Raw genomic sequence first — 14450 nt, 5'->3', positions numbered from 1 at the left:
GGTGGGGGAAGGGAGAGCATCAGGAAGAACAGCTAATGGATGCTGCGCTTAATACCTAGGTGATGGGTTGTTCTGTGCAGCAAACCATCATGGCACATGTTTACCTATGCAGTAAACCTGCACATCCTGTGCATGTACCCTGGAACTTAAAAGTTGAAGGGAAAAAAAAAGGCTAGGCGCACTCCAGCCTGGGTAACAAAGTGAGACACCCGTCTCTTAAAATAAAAGAGAGAGAGAGAGAGAGAAAAATATATTTAGACAGTTACCTCACCCCAGCTTTAGAAATGGGACAACTTGGCCAGGCACAGTGGGTCACACCTGTAATCCCAGAACTTTGGGAGGCCGAGGTGGGTGGATCACTTGAGGTCAGGAGTTCGAGACCAACCTGACCAACATGGTGAAACTCGGTCTCTACTAAAACTACAAAATTAGCCAGGGGTGGTGGCACATGCCTATAATCCCAGCTACTTGGGAGGCTGAGGAAGGAGAATCGCTTAAATCCAGGAGGCGTAGGTTGCGGTGAGCCGAGACCATGCCATTGCACTCCAGCCTGGGCAACAACAGTGAAACTCCATCTCAAAAAAGAAAAAAAAAAAAAAAAAAGGAATGGAGCAATTCAGGCACAACAAAACTTGCAAAAATATAGCCAAGTGCGATGGCTCATTCCTGTAATCCCAGCACTTTGGGAGACACTTTGTACCCTTAAGCGATAGGATCGCTTGAGCCCAGGAGTTTGAGACCAATCTGAGCAACACAGTGAGACGCTATTGTTACAGGACAGGGTCCCAATCCAGACCCCAACAGAGGGTTCTTGGATCTCGCACAAGAAATAATGGGTCAAGTCCACAGTGTGAAGTAAAAGCAAGTTTATTAAGAAAGTAAAGGAATAAAAGAACGGCTACTCCATAGACAGAGCAGCCCCGAGGGCTGCTGGTTGTCCATTTTTATGGTTATTTGTCGATGATATGCTAAACAAGGGGTGGATTTTTCATGCCTCCCCTTTTTAAACCATACAGGGTAACTTCCTGACTTTGCCATGGCATTTGTGAACTGTCATGGCGCTGGTGGGAGCACAGCAGTGACGACGACCAGAGGTCACTCTCGTGGCCATTTTGGTTTTGGTGGGTTTTGGCCGGCTCCTTTACTGCAACTGTTTTATCATCAAGGTCTTTATGACCTGTATTTTGTGCTGACCTCCTATCTCATCCCGTGACTTAGAATGCCTTAATCATCTGGGAATGCAGGCCAGTAGGTTTTAGCCTCATTTTACCCAGCCTGTTTAAGATGGAGTTGCTCTGGTTCATACGCCTCTGACATTTCCCCCCGTCTAAGAGAACCCTTAATCCTAAGGGTTGCAGAGGGACGAAGATCCATCTTCTATAACTTCTTCAGGCTAAATAGGGCAATGATATTCCTGCCTGCCTATGAGGGTCTCTTGCATTCAGGGTAAAAAGGAGCTCAGTCAGAAAGCATCAGTATGGTAAGGTTCATTCATAACTCAAGTTTCAACAAAAGGTGGTATCTGGAAAATTAGTAAGAAAACGTTCAGTAAGCTTGTCCTGTATTCCTACACAAAAAGTATAACAGCAATATATTCCACAAGAGTAAAGCAAAATAGGCTGGGTACAGTGGCTCACACCTGTAATCCAGCACTTTGGGAGGCCGAGGCAGGTGGATTACCTGAGGTCAGGAGTTCGAGGCCAGCCTGGCCAACATGGTGAAACCCTATCTCTACTAAAAATATAAAAGTCAGCTGGGCGTTGTGATGTGTGCCTGTAATTCTAGCTACTTGGGAGGCTGAGGCAGGAGAATCACTTGAACCCAGGAGGCGGAGGCTGCAGTGAGCCAAGATGGTGTCACTGCAGTCCAGCCTGGGCGACAGAACAAGACTCTGTCTCAAAAAGAAAGAAAGAAAAAAAAAAGAGTAAAGCAAAATAAGTAAAGTTATTCCAAATAAACTAAATTAGAAGACTTTTCATGAACCAGGCAACCACTGGAACTAAGCTGATATCGGGTTGTTAGCTGATTGTAATGTGCCCAGAATCAGAATACTGATCCAGATTTTTAAATTACCCATCCCTCTTATTTCTTCTGAGCAACAATTAGAGATTACTGGTTGGTTTACAAGAATACGCAGGGTTAGCCTAAATTGCAGAAACAAACTTAAAAACAATTAATGAGACCAGAATTTAATAACAAGTGTACCATAGTTTTTGAAACATAGTATTTCTCTCTCCAGTTTCCCATTTTTACTAAAGACAAATTATGGTAAGACTGACTTGCTTTATTATACTTGGCCTGATTGTTTGTATAAAGTGCAGCAAGAATAATAATTTTTCACATAGGCTTTTTAATTGGCTTTGATGGAACTCTGTTTCATAAGGAATCTCAGATAAGACTTTTTTAAAAGCCAAGCCCTGACATGGGTTTGTACCCTTAAATACCTATAACTTGGGTAAATTTCTCTCCTTTTGAGGTCCCAAGATAACTTGGGGCTCCTGGACAGGTGAGAAAGTGACATTCTTTACTTACCATAGGTCAGAAACCCTGTACAGGCACTGTGTAGGCAAGGTATGAGGCCAGTTCCCCAAAGGGCTTTTATTGGCTCTACAAGTCAAGTTTGATTCCTTAAAGAAAAGCACACCATTTCAGTCAAAGCCTTGGTAAAATAACCACTTTCTCCAATTGTATTCTGTTACAAAAGAAAACAGATTCTTATTGCACTTATGCAAATAATTACATTGCCATAAGTTAAGAATACTCACAACTAGTTTCCAAATTCTGGAGAAATCTGATATAGAGAAACAAATATGTTCCAAATTTCGTTCACAGCAGTATACTTTACTCAATTGCTATGAACTGTAAATAGCTCAAATGAAAAGTTTCCTTGACTCTGAAAAACAAAACAAAGGATCAGCAACATTTTAATCAAAGATTACTTCAGTTTTCTATTGGTTCAGTTGATTCAATTAACTCATGTTTCATTTGATATTCATGAACATTCTAGCTCTTCATGAGTTCTGAAAGTTGTTTCCTCTATTCTAATGTTACAATTTCCAAAGTTATTAGAAACCTGCATTTAAGAACACCTGCTAGAGTTCTATAGCTGATTATAAATCATCTTCTAAACAGGATTAAAACAAGACAACAATTGTCTGTGGATGATAAAAAGTTTTAGGAGAGCCACTATTAAAGCCAGAAATGATAAGGAAATTTGGTTACTTCTGTGGCACACAATATTTTGCATAACAATTATAATTATTAATAACATACACTAAATCATATTAGAATTATAGGAGTTTCCCATAACTTTGGAACATATACCAATAATACAGTTATGTAAATATAATCCAAAGAAAGCAAAACACCATTTGACATTTGATAATGCTTCCTGTATGAATTTTTTTTTTTTTTGAGATGGAGTCTCGCTCTGTCACCCAGGCTGGATAGAGTGCAGTGGTGCAATCTCAGATCACTGCAACCTCCCCCTCCCAGGTTCAAGCGCTTCTCCTGCCTCAGCCTCGAGTAGCTGTGACTACAGGTGTGCGCCACCATGCCCGGCTAACTTTTGTATTTTTTGATAGAGATGGGGTTTCACCATGTTGGCCAGACTGGTCTCAAACTCCTAACCTCAGGTGATCCATCTGCCTCGACCTCCCTAAGTGCTGGGATTACAGGTTTGAGCCACTGTGCCCGGCCAACTTAGAATAATTATTTAACTCTTTAGCCAAAAAACCCCACATTTCCATGCCTTCTTATAATCTTTTACCAAAAGTACATTCTATTTTCCTTACTACACACCTTACATGTAAAACTGTCTCTTCAATAGTCTCAGTTACATGTTCCAATTTTAACTTTTAGCGACTTTTACTTTTGGTGAAAACCCTGGTTAGTAAGCAATTTTAATTATGTACTAGGTGTGGAGCCTAGCCTAGGACACACCAGGCAGAAGTGCAGATAAGAGCTGACTCTCCAGCACAGCTTAGGGGCGTGGCTAACTCCACATGTCCCCAGGCCTTATCTAGAATCTAATGGCTTTAAGGTAGGGTAAATTGAACAATTTTTAAAAGTCAAAGAAACAGTTTATGACCTCAAATCATTTAACAAACTTAATATCTGACCTGCATAATTAAGATTAACATTTTTATCAATTTTAAAGATGTGTTTATTTCCTAAAGATTACTAAAGTTACATGAACTAAAAGGCATTAGTTATTTTGCTTTCAAAATATTTGATTTAAATGTTTATTTTTGTTTAAGCTGATTAATCAGAGCTCTTTTATATAAATATTACACACGACACCTATATAGCTACACAGAAAGACAGATGATGATGATAACAGTGGTTGTAAGATTTTTCATTTGCCAGTTTTTAAGTTTCTTAATTGGATTACCGGCTTCAGGGTGGAGCCCTTGGAAGAACAGGGCCACGAAAGGGGTCTCTGGTGCCTCTTGTTTTTCCCAAGGAGTCCAGGCTGTTAGAGCTTGAATATCCACTTTTAATTAAACTTATTTTAACCATAGCACTCTTTAATAAAGTCCTTTTAGAAGTTTTTATGCCAAACGGCTGGTATTTCTGGCTTTTGAATTTTATCAAAGGTAACCTCCCAGGTGCTTAGAAAAAGGAAAATATAAGACAGTTCACAGAGGAGAAGAGAATAGACAAAGTCATGCAGATATTAAACCAGAAACGACTTACTTCCTAGGTGGGTAATTGAACCTGGACTGTTGCCACGGAAGTGCAAAAGCTGGCTGGGTGCGGTGGCTCATGCCTGTAATCCCATCAGTTTAGGAGGCTGAGGCAGGTGGATCACCTGAGGTCAGGAGTTCGAGACCAGCCTGCCCAATATGATGAAACCCCATCTCTACTAAAAATACAAAAATTAGCTGGGCGTAGTGGCACACACCTGTAATCCCAGCTACTTGGGAAGATGACGCAGGCAAATCACTTGAACTCGGGAGGCGGAGGTTGCAGTGAGCTGAGATCGCACCACTGCACTCCAGCCTGGGCGACAGAGCAAGACTCCATCTCAAAAAAAAAAAAAAAGAAAGTGCAAAAGCTTAGCTACTGAGCTACAGCACAGGGCAGTCTCTGTTGACCTTCCCAGAAGGAGTCTAGAGTAGTTAATTTTGAGCTTATAAGGGCTTTTAACTATTTAATATTATTTTTAGAGCTAACTATGACATGAATCCTGAAATTCCTGTTCTCTGAAGGTGGGGACCAAAAGAAAGTACCACCACATGGTTAAAAGGTCAAGCTCCCAAGGACGTAAAACAAGGTGGAGACTTCATCCAGTCTTTTATTTGTTACAGGGACCTGCAGCCAAGTATCTTACTGACCAGCTTGCTGGGTCATCTTGAAAAGCGAGCTTACAGGTGTTCTTTTTTTTCTTTTTTTGAGATGGACATGGAGTCTCGCTCTGTTGCCAGGCTGGAGTGCAGTGGCACGATCTCGGCTCACTGCAACCTCCGCCTCCCGGGTTCAAGTGATTATCCTGCCTCAGCCTCCCAAGTAGCTGGGACTACAGGCGCACGCCACCACACCCAGCTAATTTTTTGTATTTTTAGTAGAGATAGGGTTTCACCATGTTGGCCACGGCTGGTCTCAAACTCCTGACCTCAGGGGATCCACCAGCCTCAGCCTCCCAAAGTGCTGGGATTACAGGCCTGAGCCACCGTGCCAGGCTGATTTTTTTTTTTTTAACCATTCACTTAACCATTTGTACAGTGAGAGAGAAGCCAGAAATCTGACTGGTAATACATTCTTACCCTTTTGCCAGCATCCCAGGCTTCTGGGTTCCCTTTCCCTTAGTGGTCCTAGTGTTCAAGCTTGCAGCATCATTGCCCTGGGGGCCAAGCCGTATCATAAAGGAAAATTATGTTTTTTCCATTCTGGCCAGAGCAAAATACGTGTGATAAAACAAAGACATTAGCCACTCCGCTTAGCACCCAATATCAAACTAGCAAGGCTTAAATTTGCCCCCAGATGGGCCTGTCATCTTTAATTCAACCTCCGACTTGGAGTTTCAACATGTGGCCTCTAGGTAAGATGGTTGCCCTGAGTAATAGAAAAAATAAGAAACGCAAAGTAGATAAGAAAAGTATTGCCTGTGGCAGGGTGGGGAAGCTGAAGAGCTTAGGGAGGCCAGAGAAAAGACCCACTCATTGCAGCCGACAATGAAAACCTCAGGCAGCCGCTTGTACGCAGCAAAGGGACCTTTTCCAGCAGTCCCATCAGCTCTCAAGATTCCCCTTTTATGGGGGGAGGGGGGAGGGATAGCATTGGGAGATATACCTAATGCTAGATGACGAGTTAGTGGGTGAAGTGCACCAGCATGGCACATGTATACATATGTAACTAACCTGCAAAATGTGCACATGTACCCTAAAACTTAAATTAAAAAAAAAAAAGACTCCCCTTTTAGAGAGGAAAAAGCTCCCCATGTCCCACGATCCTGTTCATGCCTAACTCTGTCACCCACAGCCATCAGCAAAGAGCGCAAGGCAGATTAATCCAAAGAGAACAGCAGTTAATATCCCATAGTGCCAAACCTGTTCTTAGCTGAGAGGGAGTTACCTGAGAGGGACTCTAACTCCCTATATCTTAGAAGGGCCTCCAACCCAAGGTCAGTCAAGCTTAAGCGTCCTTGCCTTTTATTAAGAGGGGCCTCGAACCCACTGTCTTAGGAGAGACTCCTAAACATAAATACTGGGTTTCCGCAGTATAGTCGCTTCTGTGGCCACCACAAATACGTTACAGGACCCCAACACTTACCCAAAGGTAGCCGTTGGGTCAGGGTTTCTGCACTATAGTCCCTTTGTGGTCGCCAGAAATATGTTACAGGACAGGCGTCCTGATCCAGGCCCCAACTGAGGGTTCTTGGATCTCGCGCAAGAAATAATTCAGGGCAAGTCCACAGTGCGATGTAAAAGTAACATTATGAAGAAAGTAAAGGAATAAAAAGAACGGCTACTCCATAGACAGAGCAGCCCCAAGGGCTGCTGGTTACCCCTTTTTACTGTTATTTCTCAATGATAGGCTAAACAAGGGGTGGATTAATCACGCCTCCCCTTTTTAGACCATATAGGGTAACTTCCTGACATTGCCATGGGATTTGTAAATGGCGCTGATGGGAGTGTAGCAGTGAGGATGACCAGGGGTCACTCTTGTGGCCATTTCAGTTTTGGCCGGCTTCTTTACTGCAACCTGTTTTATCAGCAAGGTCTTCATGACCTGTATTTTGTGCTGACTTGTCTCATCCTGTGACTTAGAATGCCTTAACTGTCTGGGAATGCAGCCCAGTAGGTTTCAGCCTCATTTTACCCAGCTCCTGTTTAAGATGGAGTTGTTCTAGTTCACACGCCTCTGACACCATCTCTATTTAAAAACAAACAAACAAACAAACAAAACAAAACAAAAACTGGCAAAGATAGCACACCCTATATTTAAAGTCAGAAGGGACTGCCACCTGCTGGTGATCGGGTAGGAATGGACAGATAGCTCACAGACCAAACCTAACCCTAAAAGATAACGGCAAGTATTAAAGAGCTAATACATTCGACTTTAGGGCAACAGTATTGATTCTAATTAAGACACGGAGATAACTGCATATGATAAACTCCAAGAAAAAAGAGCATTTTAGAAGAACGCATTTCTGTTAACAAAAACCTCAGGTTAAAATGCATTCTGAGACATAAATGCCTACGAACTCATCACAGGTGAGGCCAGTTTGACAAAGATGCCTGCCAGATCCACGCCGAGCTTCTGAACCCTAAAGGTTCTCAAAGACTACCAGTTGCCCAATCTCTTCAAAACACTAGCGCCACAACCAGACATTATTTCACATTGCAATCATTTCAAAGCGATTCAGCCGCCAGCTGCACGGCGTCGATCAAAGTGAGAAATGCCAGGCTTCGTTTTTTGACATACAAGATCAAAGAGAAAGTCACCCTCGGCTGGGTCGCCCATCCCAAAGGGTACAGACGCCCTTGTGTCATTCCTAGCCAGGGGTAAAGCCGCCTACTGTCCCCACTCTGTCTCCGCTGCCAGGCGCATCTCTCCAGGACTGTCTGGGGCGTGCGCAATGCCCGTGCGTCGGTTGCCCGCTAGACTGCAAGCTCCAGGAGGGTAAGGGGCGCGCCTCTTCCCTCAGGGTCGCCAGCGCCGACGCGCTTCGAGGACCCTGTCGCGGGGTTAACCAGACCCGGGCTCCGCTCGGCGGACACCGCGCCGAGGCCATATCCGCGCCGCCCTCCGCCCGGCTCCGGGCCCAACCTCGAGACCTCCCACGGAGAGCTAGCGCCTGCGACTGCAAAGGGCGGCTTCTGAGGCGAAAGCCACCCCGCGGCGGGCGGTTTCGGGCTTTACTTTTATTTGGGGGCGAGGGAAAGGAGGAGACGCACGACTGGAAGGGCGCAGCGCAGCTCTGCACCGAGGCGCGGAGGCCGGAAGCGCGGGCGGCCCCTCCCCCTGCCGCTGCGCCCCTCCCCCACCGCCACCACCGCGCGCGACCCCCACCAGGCGCGCGACCCGCGCTGCGTCCCCGCCGGCGCCACGTTCCCGCGTCCTTCCCCGCCCGGGCCACGGGGCACGTCCCTCCCCGCCCCCCACTTACCTGTGGCTGCCGCCTCGCCGCTCTCCGGGGCGGGAACTTCCACTCCCCCCTCCCAGGTAGATCCGAATTCACTACCCACTTCCCCACCCCCTCACGCAGCGGGGGACAAGCCTCCTTCTCGGGGGTCAGGCGGGGCGGGGAGAATCAGTGTCACTTAACAGCCAACTGTCCTAAGCTACCGTTTCCTCGGCAGTCAGGGCCGCTACTGGCGGCATGATCTACACAAGCCTGGGGGCGGGGGCGGGGGCGGGGGAGGGGAGGGGGGCAAAACTGAGCACTAGTGTGCGTTTGGGGTAGGCTATGGCGCTGCCTCCGCGCGGGCCGCCGTCCTGCGTCACCGCGCTGCCCACGTGACGCGCCGCCATCTTGTACGCGGTCCTGACTTGTGGCTAGGGGTTCCTCGGAACGCGTTCCTCAGGCTGCAGCGGGAGAGGGACGGTGCCTGCGGTTCCGTTTCTCCTTAGGAGCTGTACCCCACCCGCCCTACGTCCGCTTCCGGAGGCCATGAGCAGCTGGGTGCTCGCGGGGGGCGTTTTCATCGATTAGTGGCGGCGCTGTCAACTCACCTGCCAATTGACCTTGACCGACGCCGGCCCTGTCCTCTTGGAAGGAGAAATGAAGAGTGAAGGCTTTGACTTCCTCAGCTTTTTTTTTTTTTTTTTTTTTTTAGATGGAGTCTCTTTTTTTTTTCCGAGATTGAGACGGGGGTCTGTGGCCCAGGCTGTAGTGCAGTGGTTCGATCTCGACTCACTGCAGCCTCCAACCCCGGGATTCAAGCGATTCTCCAACCTCAGCCTATGGGGCAGCTGGGACCACAGGCGCGCGCTACCACGCTCGGCTTGAAGAGATGAGGACTCTATGTTGCTCAGGCTGGTCTTGAACTCCTGGGCTCAAGTGATCCTCCGCCTCGGCCTCTCAAAGTTCTGGGATTACAGGCGTGAGCCACCGTGCCCGGCCTTACTCAGATTTTTCTTAATCCCATAAAGTAACAATGAGTTGTGTCCTTTAACCCATGTGGAAGGATTTTCTACAGAAACGGATTTACAATGAGACATAACGATGTGGCCGGGCGCGGTGGCTCATGCCTGTAATCCCAGCACTTTGGGAGGCCCAGGAGGGCGGATCACCTGAGATCGGGAGTTCGAAACCAGCCTGACCAACATGGAGAAACCCCGTCTCTACTAAAAAATACAAAAGTAGCCGGGTGTGGTGGCGAATGCCTGTAATCCAAGCTACTTGGGAGGCTGAGGCAGGAGAATCGCTTGAACCCGGGAGGCGGAGGTTGCGGTGAGCCGAGATCGCACCGTTGCACTCCAGCCTGGGCAACAAGAGCAAAACTGTCTCAAAAAAAAAGAAAAAAGAAACGTAACAGAGTGTTAATAAAATGTTATGCCGTCATTTTAATGCATTACAAAAACTTCAGAATATTTTTGGGTCTACCTCTCTGGAAGGGAGTTATGCCTTATTCTTAATTTTTAAAATTTCCTTGTAAAATGCTGTTTTATGGCTTTAATGATAGTAAACGACAAAAGATAAACTTTTTTAGTATGCTCTTGACAAAAGTTCCGAAAGTTTTCTGAAATTTTACTAGTTTGAGATCCCCAATTTAGGAAACCGATTTAGTGGAGAGAGCTTTGCCTATTTTTGGCCCTTTGGGTCGGAGAATGTGATATAAAGCCGAAGATTTACTCTGCCAGACAGTCTTAAGAGGTCACTAACGTTTAGCTATTGACATTCAGCAAAAATTGTGGATTACCTATTAAATGCTAGACCAGGGGACAACTGTTATTAAGTCAGTGTTTCAGCATTACTGAAAGAAAAGTGGCCTATAAAGGTAAGGGAGAGGAAGAGTTTCTCAGATACCAGCCTTCGATGATTAACAAAGTCCAGCCTCAATCATTCTGGAATCCAGAATATTGATGGCTGGAAGGCTGGTTGTACAAGTTTATTGTTCTTTGGTGTTTGGTTTTTTCTTCCGTGGACCACAGAATGCTTAACAAAAGTTGATCAGTAAAAAGCGGGGGAGGGGCTAGGCGTCGTGGTTCATGACTGTAATTCCAGCACTTTGGGAGGTGGGGGAGGGCAGATCACCTGAGGTCAGGAGTTCGAGACCAGCCTGGCCAACATGGTGAAACCCCGTCTCTACTAAAAATACAAAAATTAGCCAGGTGTGGTGGCACACACCTGTAATCCCAGCCTCTCAGGAGGCTGAAGCATGAGAATCGCTTGAACCTGGGAGGCAGATGTTGCAGTGAGCCAAGATCACGCCACTGCACTCCAGCCTGAGCCACAGAGGGAGACTGTCTCCAAAGAAAAAAAATAAAAACCTGGAAATTTTATTGAAAAATGAAACCTTCAAAATGTGCCTTGACTACTTCTTTAGCTCCTCTTCCTTAGTGCCTTAGGTCTAAATCAAATGTTACGCTCGACCAGTCCTGGTGGCATGCGCCTGTAATCCCATCTACTGGGGAGGCTGAGGCAGGAGGATCATTTGAGCTCGGGAGTTTGAGGATACAGTGAGCTGTGATCATGCCACTGCACTCAAGCCTACATGACAGATGAGACACTGTCTCTAATTTTTTTTTTTTTTTTGAGATGGAGTCTGCCTCTGTCGCCCAGGCTGGAGTGCACTGGTGCAATCTTGGCTCGTTGCAACCTCCACCTCCCGGATTTCAGTGATTCTCCTGCCTCAGCCTCCAAGTAGCTGAGAGATTACAGGTGTGTGCCATCACAGCTGGCTAATTTTTGTAGTTTTTTAAGTAGGGACGGGGTTTCACCATGTTAGCCAGTCTTGGTCTCGAACTGCTGACCTCAAATGATCCGCCTGCTCAGCCTCACAAAGTGCTGGGATTACGAGCATGAGCCACGGCACCTAGCCTCTAAAATAATTTTTTTTAAAATTGTTTAAAAAACAACTCAGGCCGGGCACGGTGGCTTACGCATGTAATCCCAGCACTTTGGAGGGCGCGGTGGGTGGATCACCTGAGGTCAGGAGTTCGAGACCAGCCTGGCAAATATGACGAAACTCCGTCTCTACTGAAAATACAAAAGTTAGCCAGACGTGATGGCGTGAGCCTACAGTCCCAGCTACTCGGGAGGCTGAGACAGGAGAATCGCTTGAACCCAGGAGGCGGAATTTGTGGTGAGCCGAGATCGTGCCACTGCACTCCAGGCTGGGCAACAGTGAGACTCCATCTCAAAAAAAAAAAACAAAAACAAAAAACCACGACTCAGTTGACAGAGGAAAAGAAGAAAAAAAGTTATGCTTGTTCAACACTGCCCCTCAAAAATACTTCTGCTTTTCTTGTCTCTTTCTCATTGAAGTATCATAAACTGTGCCTACCAGTCTTCTGAACTGTGATAACTAGATGAAAAAAAAAAAGAGGTCTTGGTTCTGATGCATGCAGTTTATCTGAATAGTAAGTTTCATAAATCAGATGGACAGATCTTTAATATTAGAAGCAAGGAAAGTGAAACAAAGAAACTTAGAGCCATGGCCGGGCAGGGTGGCTCACGTCCTCCGTAATCCCAGCACTTTGGGAGGCCAAGGTGGGTGGATCACTTGAGGTCAGGAATTCAAGACCAGTATGGCAAAACCCTGCCTCTACCAAAAATACAAAAAATTAGCTGAGCGTGGTGGAGCACACCTGTGGTCCCAGCTACTTGGGAGGCTGCGGCAGGAGAATCCCTTGAACCCAGGAGGTGAAGGTTGCAGTAAGTCGAGATCGTGCCACTGCACTCTAGACTGGGTGACAGAGCAAGACTCCACCTCAAAAAAAAAAAAAGAAAAAGAAAAAGAAACTTAGAGCCGAAAGTAATTTTTTTTTTTTTTTTGAGACAGAGTCTTGCTCTGTCGCCCAGGCTGGAGTGCAGTGGGGGTATCTTGGCTCACTGCAACCTCTGCCTCCTGGGTTCAAGGGATTCTCCTGCCTCAGCCTCCTGAGTAGCTGGGATTACAGGCGCCTACCACTACGTCTGGCTAATTTTTGTATTTTTAGTAGAGATGGGGTTTCACCATGTTAGGCTGGTCTCGAACTCCTGACCTAAGGTGATCCGCCCGCCTCAGCCTCCCAAAGTGCTGGGATTACAGGTGTGAGCCACCGTGTCTGGCCAAAAGTAATTGTTTTTTTTAAAATAAACTGGGCAAGCCTGTGGTAGCACCACTTTGGCTCTTCTGGCACACTTTTTTGTTGTTAGAAAAGAGAGATGTGGCCAGGCATTGGCTCACACCTGTAATCCCAGCACCTTGGGAGGCCGAGGCGGGTGGATACCTGAGGTCAGGAGTTTGAGACTAGCCTGGACAACATGGTGAAACTCCGTCTCTACTGAAAATACAAAAATTAGCCAGGCGTGGTAGTGTGCACCTGTAATCCCAGCTACTCAGGAGGCTGAGGCAGGAGAATCGCTTGAACCTGGGAGGCAGAGGTTGCAGTGAGCTGAGATTGTGCCACTGCATTCCAGCCTGGGTGATGGTGCAAGACTCTGTCTCAAAAAAAAAAGAAAAAAAATTAACCAGGTGTGGTGGCATGCACCTGTAATCCCAGCTACTCGGGAGGTTGAGGCAGGAGAATCACTTGAACTCAGGAGGCAGAGGTTGCAGTGAGCTGAGATCACTCCATGGCACTCCAGCTTGGGCAACAGAAGGAGACTCCATCCCATTAAAAAAAAATTTTAAAAAAAGAGGTTATAATGAAATGGATTTAATAACACTGCCTATCCCATAGGGTTTTGTAGACTGAATTACTTTGATACACGTAAAGTTAGAGCTGTGCCTAGTATATAGTAAGCACTAAATAAATGTTGGATTTTTTTTTAGACGGTCTTGCTGTGTCGCCCAGGCTGGAGTGCAGTGGTGCACGATCTCAGCTTACTGCAGCCTTGACCTCCTAGGCTCAAGCCATCCTCCCACCTTAGCCTCCCAGGTACCTGGGACTATAGATGTGCAGCACCACGCCCAGCTAATTTTTTTTTTCTTTTTCTTTTTTTTTTTTTTTGAGATGGAGTCTCGCTCTGTCACCCAGGCTGGAGTGCAGTGGCGCGATCTTGGCTCACTGCAACCTCTGCCTCCCAGGTTCACGCCGTTCTCCTGCCTCAGCCTCCGGAGTACCTGGGACTACAGGCGCCCGCCACCACGCCCGGCTGTTTCTTTTTTGTACTTTTAGTAGAGACGGGGTTTCACCATGTTAGCCAGGATGGTCTCGATCTCCTGACCTCGTGATCCGCCTGCCTTGGCCTCCCAAAGTGCTGAGATTACAGGCATGAGCCACCGTGCCCGGCCAATTTTAAAAGTTTTCTGTAGAGATAGGGTCCCTCTATGTTGCCCAGGCTGGTCTCGAGCTCCTGAGCTCAAGTTATCCACCTTAGCCTCCCAAAGTGTAGAGATTGCAGGCGTGAGCCACAGAGCCTGGCCAGAACCTTCTTGATGTTGGTCAGAGCAGCCTGCAGGTTTCACACACCTTTCTAAGCCCCCAGGTAGTGATGGTGACTGAAGCTATGAGGGCAGAAGAGTCAAACCCTTACCCAGAAAAAGTAAATCTGTTCACGTGAGAACAAATCACTGGCCCTTCTACTATGAAAGAAGCCCGATGTTGTCAGCTTGCTATGAAGTGGCCTAGTAGTTTTCTGAAGAAACAGTGCAACATTGGGAGCTCACTGTTGGTCTCGGTCAGTGTTTAGTTAAGGTTTCAGAGACAGTAGTTATTAAATCAGTTTTAGGAGTCCATGCGTAGCCTCCACCTCTGCCACTGTGGCTGCTCCATTCATATGCTCATTGTACCAGTTCCAAGAAGTCAATAGGTGGCTGACATCAACCAGCCAAGTCCGGCCCAGGCTGGAG

General features: G+C 46.6%; 1 protein-coding gene across 27 annotated transcripts in view, besides 6 other annotated features; it reads right to left on the bottom strand.

The window, feature by feature from the left end:
- Nucleotides 1-9463, bottom strand: part of ATF1 (activating transcription factor 1) — a 57704-nt gene extending 48241 nt beyond the window's left edge. For 11 of the 27 annotated variants that reach the window (NR_182081.1, NM_001412971.1, NM_001412972.1 and 8 more), the window contains exon 1: nucleotides 8615-8821. Coding sequence is in view for 2 of the 27 variants with exons in the window: in NM_001412960.1 (NP_001399889.1) it covers nucleotides 7950-7997 (48 nt within the window). In the remaining 25 variants the exon portion in view is untranslated. The other 16 variants (NM_001412970.1, NM_001412963.1, NM_001412969.1 and 13 more) reach the window with 10 other exon arrangements.
- Nucleotides 3014-3514: an enhancer, noted in NCBI's record as "H3K4me1 hESC enhancer chr12:51163191-51163691 (GRCh37/hg19 assembly coordinates)". NCBI's record gives its function as "activates a minimal SCP1, AML or CMV promoter by ChIP-STARR-seq in naive H9 embryonic stem cells {active_cell/tissue: H9 hESC(naive)}" and the evidence as "EXISTENCE:reporter gene assay evidence [ECO:0000049][PMID:30033119]".
- Nucleotides 3515-4015: an enhancer, noted in NCBI's record as "H3K4me1 hESC enhancer chr12:51162690-51163190 (GRCh37/hg19 assembly coordinates)". NCBI's record gives its function as "activates a minimal SCP1, AML or CMV promoter by ChIP-STARR-seq in naive H9 embryonic stem cells {active_cell/tissue: H9 hESC(naive)}" and the evidence as "EXISTENCE:reporter gene assay evidence [ECO:0000049][PMID:30033119]".
- Nucleotides 7958-8057: an enhancer, noted in NCBI's record as "active region_6364". NCBI's record gives its function as "activates an Ori minimal core promoter by ATAC-STARR-seq in GM12878 lymphoblastoid cells {active_cell/tissue: GM12878}" and the evidence as "EXISTENCE:reporter gene assay evidence [ECO:0000049][PMID:35858748]".
- Nucleotides 8478-8567: a silencer, noted in NCBI's record as "silent region_4455". NCBI's record gives its function as "represses an Ori minimal core promoter by ATAC-STARR-seq in GM12878 lymphoblastoid cells {active_cell/tissue: GM12878}" and the evidence as "EXISTENCE:reporter gene assay evidence [ECO:0000049][PMID:35858748]".
- Nucleotides 8788-8867: a silencer, noted in NCBI's record as "silent region_4454". NCBI's record gives its function as "represses an Ori minimal core promoter by ATAC-STARR-seq in GM12878 lymphoblastoid cells {active_cell/tissue: GM12878}" and the evidence as "EXISTENCE:reporter gene assay evidence [ECO:0000049][PMID:35858748]".
- Nucleotides 10358-11226: an enhancer, noted in NCBI's record as "H3K27ac hESC enhancer chr12:51155479-51156347 (GRCh37/hg19 assembly coordinates)". NCBI's record gives its function as "activates a minimal SCP1, AML or CMV promoter by ChIP-STARR-seq in naive H9 embryonic stem cells {active_cell/tissue: H9 hESC(naive)}" and the evidence as "EXISTENCE:reporter gene assay evidence [ECO:0000049][PMID:30033119]".

Source organism: Homo sapiens, chromosome 12 (genome assembly GCF_000001405.40).
Source record: "Homo sapiens chromosome 12, GRCh38.p14 Primary Assembly".
Lineage (NCBI taxonomy): Eukaryota > Metazoa > Chordata > Mammalia > Primates > Hominidae > Homo > Homo sapiens.
This window is presented reverse-complemented; position numbering and strand designations above follow the sequence as displayed.